This window comes from Homo sapiens, chromosome 8 (assembly GCF_000001405.40).
Source record: "Homo sapiens chromosome 8, GRCh38.p14 Primary Assembly".
NCBI classification, from domain to species: domain Eukaryota; kingdom Metazoa; phylum Chordata; class Mammalia; order Primates; family Hominidae; genus Homo; species Homo sapiens.
The window spans coordinates 101,338,534-101,349,454 of NC_000008.11; the positions used below are offsets into that span (position 1 = coordinate 101,338,534).

Genomic DNA, 10,921 nt, shown 5'->3' on the forward strand with positions numbered 1-10,921 from the left:
CAGCCTCCGCCTCCCGGGTTCAAGCGATTCTTGTGCCTCAGCCTCCTGAGCAGATGGGACGACAGGCGTGCACCACCACGCCCAGCTAATTTTTGTATTTTTAGTAGAGACAGGGTTTCACCATATTGGCCAGGATGGTCCCGATCTCTTGACCTTGTGATCTGCCTGCCTTGGCCTCCCAAAGTGCTGGGATTACAGGCCTGAGCCACACGTCTGGCATATAGTTTAACTATTTTTTAAGACTATTTTTGTAGAGAACGTTAAGGTTCACATCAAAATTGAGAGGAAAGTATAGAGATTTCTCATAAGACCCTTACCCCTACACATGCACAGCCTCCACCATTGTCAACATCCCACACCAGAGTGGTACATTTTTTTCTTTTTTTTGAGACAGGGTCTCACTGTGTTGCCCAGGGTGGAGCGCAGTGGTGCGAAAGATCTCAGCTCACTGCAACCTCTGCCTCCTGGGTTCAAGTGATTCTTGTGCCTCAGCCTCCTGAGCAGATGGGACTACAGGCATGCACCACCATGTCTGTAATTTTTTGTGTTTTTATTAGAGACAAGGTTTCACCATGTTGGTCAGGCTGGTCTTGAACTCCTAGCCTCAAGTGATCCACCCACCTTGGCCTCCCAAAGTGTTGGGATTACAGGCATAAGGCACCATGCCCAGCCCAGAGTGGTACCTTTTTCTCACAATTGGTGAACCTATATTGACATACTTATCACCCGAAGTCCAGAGTTTATCTTAAAGCTCACTCTAGGTGTTGTACATTCTATGGGTTTGGACAAATGTTCAATGGCATGTATCCACCATTACGGTACCACAGAGAGTTGTTTCACTGCCGTATAGATCCTCTGTGCTCTGCCTCTTGCCCCTTCTCCCCACAACCTCCCAACCCCTGCTAACCACTGATCTTTTTACTGTCTTCATAGTTTGGCCTTTTCCAGAATGTCATATCGTTGGAATAACGGAAGCTTTTTCAGATTGGCTTCTTTAACTTAGTAATACGCATTTAAGTTTCCTCCATATATTTTCATGGCTTGATGGCTTGTTTCTTTTTTTTTTTTTTTTTCTTTTTTCTTTTTCTTTTTTTTTTTTTTGAGACGGAGTCTCTCTTTGTCACCCAGGCCGGAGTGCAGTGGCGCGCTCTTGGCTCACTGCAAGCTCCGCCTCCCAGGTTCACACCATTCTCCTGCCTCAGCCTCCCTATTAGCTGGGACTACAGGAGCCCGCCACCACGCCCGGCTAAGGCTTATTTCTTTTTAGTGATAAATAATAGTCCATTGTCTGGATGTACTACAGTTTATCCATTTACCTATTAACATCTTGTTTGGGCAATTACAATTAAAGCTCCTATAAACGCCCATGTGCAGGTGTTGTTTTGTTTTTTTATTTTTATTTTTAGAGACAGGATCTCACTTTGTTGACCAGGCTGCTGTGCGGCGGCTCTTCACAGGTGTGATCAGAGCTATAGCCTCAAACTCCTGGGCTCAAATGATCCTCCTGCCTCAGCCTCTGAGTAGCTGGGGTTATGGCACGTGTCACCGTGACTGGCTTATATGCTACATTTTATGTGGATGTAAGTTTTCAGCTCCTCTGGGTAAATACCAAGGAGTGCAGTGGCTGGATTATATGGTAAGAGTACCTTTAGTTTTGTAAGAACCCCCCAAACTGTCTTCCAAACTGGTTGTATCATTTTGCATAATCAGTAGCAAGGAATAAGAGTTCCTGTTGCTCTACACCCTCATCAGCATTTGGTGTTGTCAGTGTTCTGGATTTGGGGCATTTTGTTGTACAAGTTATCAATACTTGCCTTATGGTTCCAGGTCTTGTATTTCACTATGCCACTCAGATTGTATTTTAGTTTTCACTTCTATGGTCTTTTTTTTTTTAATGTTGAAATCTCTGTCCTATTTGGGATTTATTTTTATATGAGGAGTAGGACAGGAATCTAGCTTTATGTTTTTTCCAAGGAGCTGGTCAGTTTTCCCACAATTTCTTGAATAATCTAACTTGTCCAACTAGTTTGGAATGCTACTTTTATAAGATAATAAATAAGCCAGATAGACTGGATTAAGAAAATGTGGCACATATACACCATGGAATACTATGCAACCATAAAAAATGATGAGTTCATGTCCTTTGTAGGGACATGAATGAAGCTGGAAACCATCATTCTCAGCAAACTATCGCAAGGACAAAAAACCAAACACTGCATGTTCTCACTCATAGGTGGGAATTGAACAATGAGAACACTTGGACACAGGCAGGGGAACATCACACATTGGGGCCTGTTGTGGGGTGGGGGAAGGGGGGAGGGATAGCATTAGGAGATATACCTAATGTAAATGACGAGTTAATAGGTGCAGCACACCAACATGGCACATGTATACATATGTAACAAACCTGCACATTGTGCACAAGTACCCTAGAACTTAAAGTATAATAAAAATATGTATATATATAAGAAGATAATAAATAAGCATAAGTGAGTGTCTTTGTGGATTCCGTCTTCTGTTCACTGAATCTCCTGATTATTTACTCTCCAGAAGAAAATGGGACCTTATTCATTTATAGGCTTTAATGTCTGTTAGTCTCTCTCACTACTTACTATTTTATTTCCCTCAGAAATTTTCTTTGCATTCATTCCTTTTAATTCCAGTATCATTCTATAAAATTCCTACCATTAAAAAATACTATTTTATTGAGGTAACATAAAATGTACAAACTAACTTAGAGATAGTTGACTTTATATTACTATTTTCTTTTCCAAGAATAAGATAAACTTTCTGTTACATTATGCAGTCATTTAAAATTTTTCTGTGTATATATTTTCTACATTTCTTATATATTACCTTTTTTTTTTTACCTGCTGTGGTATATAAGGTAGTTCTTGTATTATATTTCCCATCTGGTTATTGTTTGTTTATATTAAAACTATTGTGTACTTTAATAAAATAACCACTTTTCGATGCTTTCTCTAGTTCCCAGATTTGGGGGTAATCATCTTGAGCTATCTAAAAATACAGTTGCAGTCTTAATAAATCATGATCATTTTGCCTTGTTTCCAATTTTTATATCTCTTCTTTCCCTAACTGTATTGGATGGTGCTTCTAGAACTCTGGGAAATGGCAGTAGTAACCTGCGTCTTCAGTCTTGCTTTTTTTTTTTTTTTTTTCTCCAAGGTCTTCAGCACTGTGACCCAGTCTTGCTCAGATTCTGACGTCTTTCTCTTTGGTGTGTGGGAAGGTCTGTGGTTGAGTCAAGGTCAGAGCTTCTTTGCCTTGTTTCTAGGCCATTCGGAGAAACTACACCTTAAGGTAAGGGAGTTCTCCACAGGGACCAGTCACCTCCCTGGAGTTATGCCCCGGGGTTTGAGTCCCTGCAGAGATGCATGACTTGAAAAGAGTAGCTGCCTGAGACAGAATGTGGGTGTTCCTGTTCTCCCATCCAGGTGGTTTCCCACCCAGTTATGTCATTGCCAAAGACACATTTTTTATGTATTAACTGTAACTCATTTGCCATTTGTACTTTACATGTGTGCTTATCCAAATAGTCTGTTTTTCTAATTATAATTTAAGTTTTTAAAATTCTGGAACCAAATTATATACCTCTATAAACACCCGGGCCCCGGCATAAAGTCTTGCATTCAGTAGATTCTCAATCAATGATTAACTGAAGTTAATTATATGAGGCACTTCGAAATGAGGAAAGTACACTTCATATAAGACACAAGTTCGTAGTAACTATGAGGACAGTCGTCTTAGTCATCTCTCAGTGCTGTTTCCAGATCAAAGAGATAATGGATGGAAGAAAACTTGGAATATTTGTAACATTGCTAAGGCTGACTTTCCATTCCACATACCATATTGTAATGAAATGATGATTATTGTTTGTTTTCTTAACTAGAACTTGAGCTCTTTGAGGACAGGAACCAAGTCTTATTTATCCCTAAATTCCTAAATTCTTGGCACCCACTCCAGGTCTTGACATGTAGTGAGTACATAATCAATGTAGAACTGAACAGAATTACAACCAACAGCATGTCTTCTGATATGAGGCCAGTTATGCTCTTGTCTGAAGGTCATGAGGTACAGCTTCTATTCTAAATGGCCAAACTGGACCAACCACCAAAGATGGGACCTGGCTCCAGGGACAGCAAGCATAAGTCCTTGGAGCTCCCTAGCTCTAGTTTCTGATGGTTCATCTGATAATTAATTACACGCTTCTTGGGGCTATCTCTACTTCTGTTCAATTATTTTATCCTCTTAACTTTTTTTTCTCACACATTTATGTAAGCAACTTGTGGGGATTGGGATATCATTGTATTTTTTAAAAAGATTTCCTTGCTCCTAGCACAAAATATTGTTTCTTCTGCTGACCCAGGCTCATCTAAAAGTCTTTTTTCTCCTCTTCTATTCCTAGACTGATCTCTTTACTTCCTCTGCTAGATTCTTTTTTTGCTACCCTCTGGATTCCTGGGCCAACTTTTCGTGATGCCAATAATTGCCAGGCACTGTGTGAGGCACTTAACATAGAGAAGGTATCACCACACACATTTGCAGATGAGGATGCATTTGCAAGTTTTCTTTTTCTATTCTCTTCAAGTAAGGCAAGACAGTTTGGCTGCCGGGATTTTAGGAGGTGTGCAGGGTCTCCATGGAGAACACTGGTGAGAGAATGCACTGGTAACTTTACCTCATCATGTGAAGAATCTCACTGAATTTTAAACAATTATTAGATTACCTAGGTGACTTACAAGCACTTGGAAATGTGCATATTAAAAGTACCAGCATCTGTAGTTTTCTGAAGTGCAGATCTGCTTTCGGGAGTTTCGAAAGCACATCCTCTGCCTTTGCTCTGCCTAGATGAAGACCTTATTTGAAGACCAAACTTTGTGCGAGACTTTATCATGAAAGCCTTCGAGGACCTTGGGGAGGTCCCAAGAGAGCAAAACTACAGTGAGTCTTACTGGGAAGAGTCTGCTTGGGGCTTGAGTCTTAATGGATAGGAACAATGATTGCTAAATTTTTGACTGATGTTCCTTATCAGTAAAAACTGAAATTAAGAAACATTTATGCCCATGCCTCTGTATTTGTATGTCTATTTCAAAATCATACACATATATGACTACAGCATTATCTTACATAGGACAGAAAATATATACAAAAATGGAGGATTTTAAAAGATGAGAGAAAACTGAAAAAATGATATTTTAATAATACTTTTAATTATTATCTGTACAAGACCAAATTGTAGTGTAAGTTGTATAATTGAAAGTTTATTATTATTATTATTTTAAAATATTATTTCAACATAGCAATTCAGTATCTGGGCCTATCGTTAATTTAGGTTTTAGTAGCTATCTGAGTTTTAGAAATGTACCTCATAGAGATACGTAAAGCCAAGTGTTGCCAATGACACAAGAAGTGTGTCGTTGGCAACACTTACTGAATCATGATGTTTGTTTTTTAACTTTTCATATTGCCCATTTTCACACATGAGAAAATGAAAGCCCAAGGAGATTTGGAACTTTTCAAGGACCCCTAGCTGGAATCAGATCCTGGGTCTCCTAACACCCAGGACACTTCTTCCACATTGCAAGGAAAAGCGTTTCCCAGCCCTCGACATCTTGCTTTGCGGATACTTTCATGTCTTTTCACACGTATGTGTGGGCTTCCATCTTTCTTCAAGTAATTGTAGGATTTTTCAAGGCAAGGACCGTGACTTTATTTTTTGTATTCCCCCAGTACCTAGTGGACAGTGGGTAGAAAGAAGGAGAGAGAAAGGAATCTGCTTCCACGCTTCCAATGGAGAGGTTCCACTAACTTCGGATTCCCAGTGTATAGACATTCTCTTCTTGGGAGAAAAGGTAACTCCCCACACCAGAGACTTTCTTTTTTTCTCAGCTCTTCCCATCTGAAACTGTCCAATAGATTTCTGGCACCCTGCACCCAGCATATGAATATCAAGTATTAAACTAACTTTATTTACTTTTTTGGTCATAAACACTGAGATAGTTTTTTCCTTGCTTGCAATTGCTTATTAAATCATACACTTTTCAAGACTGGAGGTCTTTGGTGGTGGTGATGGTCAGGCACCACCATCTCAGTTGACCAAATTGGAAAATATGCTAAAGAGCCTCAGCAGCCATGGTTCCTCTGTGTGCAATGACTCCATCAGCCTTTGATGCAAGAAAAGAAGAGCTTGGGCTGGCGCGGTGGCTCACGCCTGTAATCCCAGCCTTTTGGGAGGCTGAGGCGGGTGGATCATGAGGTCAGGAGTTCAAGACCAGCCTGGCCAAGGTGGTGAAACCCCATCTCTACTAAAAAAGCAAAAAAATTAGCTGGGCGTGGTGGCAAGCACCTGTAATCCCAGCTACTCAGGAGGCTGAGGCAGGAGAATCGCTTGAACCCAGGAGGCAGAGGTTGCAGTGAGCTGAGGCTGAGATTGTGCCACTGCACTCCAGCCTGGGCAACAGAGCAAGACTCCATCTCAAAAAAAAAAAAAAAAAAGAAAAGAAAAGAAAAAAGAAAAGAAAAGAAGAGTTTGTTAAGTATAGAAGAGGGAAAAAAAGAAATACACTTATTAAATCATACACTTATTAAATCCTAAGCACTGCACAGCTAAAAGTTCAAGTGGCAGATTTAAAAGTGATCATCTATTCAAGTAAAATCCAGGAACAAGACTAACCAGGATTTAGCATGCTCCTGCAGGAAGCCTATGAAATGATCCCCCCAAAATCTTAGGGTGCTGTTTCCCCTGTTTCCTGATATTTTTCTTCTTGTTCCTTATGACGTGCTGATTCCAAGAATTCATGCAATCACACTTCACTATCTTCCATTGGCTTGAGAGTCAGCTTCAGGTAAGGCCAAAGCTTCTTTAGAGACAGAAGAGAATATGGGGTCCAATTCCAGTGAGGCTGGCACAGTTCCAATTCCATTTCAGTTCAACAAGACTGAACTGGAGCCCTGTGATAGAAAGAAATTGTTTTATTTACCTAACACTCTTGTTGGCTTCTAGCAAATTCACCTCCTACCATTTTTGGGGTAATTCCTCCTCCCTGACTTCAGCAGTGCAGTTCTAGTCATGACTGCAATCATCACACTTCAATCTGATCACTTCAGAAGTAGGGATGTGACTCAAACCATGCCAAGGAGTTTTCTCCCCCACCCCAGGGAGACTTTTGAAGACTGGAGGTCTTTGGCAGTGGTGATGGTTGGGCACCACCATCTCAGTTGACCAAACTGGAAAATACACTAAAGAGCCTCAGCAGCCATGGTTCCTCTGTGTGGAATGAGTCCATAAGCCTTTGGTGCAAGAAAAGAAGAGCTTATAAGTACAGAGGAGGAAAAAAAAAGAAAAAGAAAGCTGAAAGTTCTTGTTAGCTACAACCTTGGCCTTTCCTAATCACGTAAACCGCTAAATGATGGCTAAAGTAGTTTGAATTTAGTTTCTATTACTTACAATTAAAACTGCCCTGATGATGACAACTCTCCCTTAACATGTACTTGGTCCTATGGCCGGTGTTGAGGAAACAAAGATGCATATGATTCTGTATCTGTTCTCAAGGAACTGAGAATCTGTGAGGAGAGAAAGATACCTCAACAAATAAGCACAAAGCAATGTGATATGATAGAGGGCATGAAGACAGGGGTGGCTGTGAGGGGGAAACAGCTCAGGAAATGCTAACACTGAAGATGGAATTTTGAAGCAGGCCTTCAGGGCTCTGGAATCAAAGCAAATAAGGACTTATTAGAATGAGCATTTGTAACCAGTCCCCTGCACTTTCTAACTAGGCAATTTACTTAACTTCTCAGTGGCTCCGTTCCTTATATGTAAGATGAAGATCACAGTAGTACCTGTCTCACAAGTTTTGGTGAACATTAAATGAACATTGTATAATGCTTATACAATGTTTAGTACAGTAACATCTTTGCAAATGTTAAAGATTACCATCATCCTTACCCTCAGGGCAGTGACCATTACCATATATTTTTAGGATTGTATCTCCTAAATATTGCCAGTCAGGGCAAAACTACTAGGGGAGAAAACATCTTATGCTTTGCTTGACAAATTCACTGCTTCATAAAGAGGAACACTTACATCACCTCCCGTATACATATGTGTGGTTTCTAGGTCACTGGCTTTTTGGAGAGGAGAACCTCAGAAGAAGAGATACTTGCTTGGAACTTAATGAAATTAGTGTAATATCTGATAGAATCTGAAGGGAGATAGAAAGCTCATGAATTTACAACCTTTTATGTATGGTTTTTGATAACCTTCTGCTTGTTTTTCTTCACAAAATCCATGGTGCTGGTTTGATTTGTTCAGCTTTGCAAATTAATAAACTATGAATAAAAAAGCACGGTGAGCTACAGTTGCAAATTTGACTCTTTAATGGCCATTCTCAAAATTCTAAGACCAAAGGAATCTAGTCCTGATTTTTCTTGTTGGATTCTCCTGGAAACGATAGCATGAAGAGATTCTAATGAGCCTTGGTGATTGGGTGATTAAGTTTTGTGTACTGCGAAAATCCAGGTACATGTCTTATGTTGCCAACTATTGTAATTTAGCAGAAAGAGCATAGAACTGGAAGCCTGGCTCTGATGACAAAATAGATTGAGTTAATATGAATGCTCCTCCCACTATAACACATAGAAATGCTAGATGAAATAAAATCACCACCTCCTCTATGGTAAGTACATGGTTGAACTGAGAGGAGAAAGGGAGGAAGGGAGGAGGAGAAAAGGGAGAAAAGAGAAAAGAAATCCCCAGGTGCTTGAATTGAAGAGGGTATTTAAATCAGGAGCCATAAATGAAAAAAATATAAAACAATTGTGACGAAATGTTAACTTTTATCCAACTGGTGACTACATAGGTGTCTGTTATATTATCGTATTTATTTTTTCATCATTGCAATATTTTGTGATTGAAAATGGTGATTTTACAAAGAAGAAGAGAGAGGAGAAGAAGGATTTGGATTTGGTGCATGTGAGTCTAATGCCAACTCTGCATGACCTTGGGCAAATGATCTGACTCCGTCTCCTCATCGGTAAACTAAGGACAATGACATCTACTTCAAACGTGATTTCAATATTAAAAGGGTCAACATATAATGGCCAGCACATAGGCTCAGCATCCTCACTTTCCTGTTATCCCTTCTAACCTGAGGAAGAGCCTCATGAGTCACGCTCTTGCTGAGTCTTTCTGGAACAAGGATGATGTCAGGCCACTGTGGACACATTGATTCCTGATCTGTAACACTTATGACCATCAGAGGCCATTGCAACCTCTTTTCTCCTTTTATGATACAAACATTTTCTAAAAGTCCAGGCTAGTATTATAGAATGCTTTTCAATTTGGTTTGTCCAATTGTTTCCTCAAGACTAGATTCAAGTGAAATGTTTCTGGTGAGAATCCAACAAAGGTGACATTGTATTCCTCTCAGTGCATCCCATCAGGGGCTCCATAAGTTCTGCTCACCTCTTTATGGATGATGTTACATTAGCTTTTTCGGTTAAGGAAATGGCCACTAGATCTCTCTGTTGTAAAGGTAGCTTTTCCCTTTCAGAATTAGTGAAGAATAGATGTGGTTAGACTTTTAGACTATGTTAATGTATTGTCCTCAGTAACATTTCACACGACGGTTTTAACATCAATTAATGATTTATACACGAATTATTTCAAAGGGGCAGTAATGTTCTTTGGCTTCCTTTTGTCTGATTGCCTGGAGCCCACATGGCTTTCCAGTTTCCTGTTTGATTCAGTCCATCCCTTGAGTAACAGCACTCGCTAATCCTTCACTGTAAATCTGAACTTCATTTACTGTCTTGTCTTCCTGATTCACCTGCTCCTCTTGCCTGTAATCCATGGTCTCATCTGGTTAGTGGTGGGTCTCTTGCTTCAGAGGTTAGCATTGTTAATTGTATACCTGATACGTTGACTGCAGTCCTTCTCTACTTAGCTGTACCTCTACTTTGCCAGGGACAGCCCTGCACAATGGGAAATGGTATTTGGGGGACTCTGTCTAGCTTCCAAGCTTTCAAAATAAATTTTTTATCCTAGCTTCAGAGTAAATAATAAACACACACACATTCGCTCACATTTACCCATCCTACTTGTGATGCATTCTGTTTCTATTCAATTTCATTTTTTAAAGTGCTAGTCAGGCCACTTGATTTCATAAGCTGAAATGGCTGGCAATCTTGTACTTTGAAAAATACTGTGTGAGAGCTTAATCCCCGCTTCCTATGAATACAGAGCGCTCGTTGGGTGACCATTTTGCCCCTGTCTTATTTGAATTTGAATTATGGAACTTGAGGGCTGAAAGGGCCCTTTAAAAAGTCATCCAGCCTCATCACTCATTTGGTGCTTGAACTCCTTCAACAATATCCCTCCTGCTTGCAATATTACCAGCTTCTCTTTGAACATCCAGCGATGTGGAATTTACCATTGTCCCAGATACTCCGTTCCTTTTTTGGGTAAAGTTCCAGATCTTGGTTAAGGTCTTTTCTCTGTTTAGACTCCTAGAGGCTATGTAGGCCAAGCCGACTCCCTGTTCCACCTAAGAACTTACTGGAGACAGTCATCGAGCCTTCTGAGTCCTCCTTTCTCCAAGTCCTTCAGCGGAACCTCAATGGATACCACATGGTTTCTACATTTGCAGCCACCCTCCTCAGAGCACTTTGTCAATATCCTTCCTGAACTGTGACTCCTGCTTTGACACATTATTCTAACTCTTTTCTTCTCTTGTTATGCTAACTTCGTCTTATATTGATATCTAACTTTTCGTGGTTCTATGCCTTGTCTGCCTTACTAAGTTCTGTCCTTTATTTATGGTGACGGCATTTTGTACAGTGTAACTCCAAAGTAAGAAAGTCTTTATTCCCCGGTCAAATAAAGGTATATCCAAATGAA

The 10,921-nt window shown here is 40.1% G+C and overlaps 1 long non-coding RNA gene across 1 annotated transcript, besides 1 other annotated feature; it reads left to right on the forward strand.

Moving 5' to 3' along the window:
* Nucleotides 3,174-3,374: a silencer, noted in NCBI's record as "peak7132 fragment used in MPRA reporter construct". NCBI's record gives its function as "represses an SCP1 promoter by STARR-seq MPRAs in K562 erythroleukemia cells {active_cell/tissue: K562}" and the evidence as "EXISTENCE:reporter gene assay evidence [ECO:0000049][PMID:32103011]".
* LOC124901994 (uncharacterized) lies at nucleotides 5,758-10,921 on the forward strand. The gene is made up of 2 exons (XR_007061035.1): nucleotides 5,758-5,873; nucleotides 10,527-10,921. It is a non-coding gene; the product is annotated as an uncharacterized LOC124901994 (long non-coding RNA).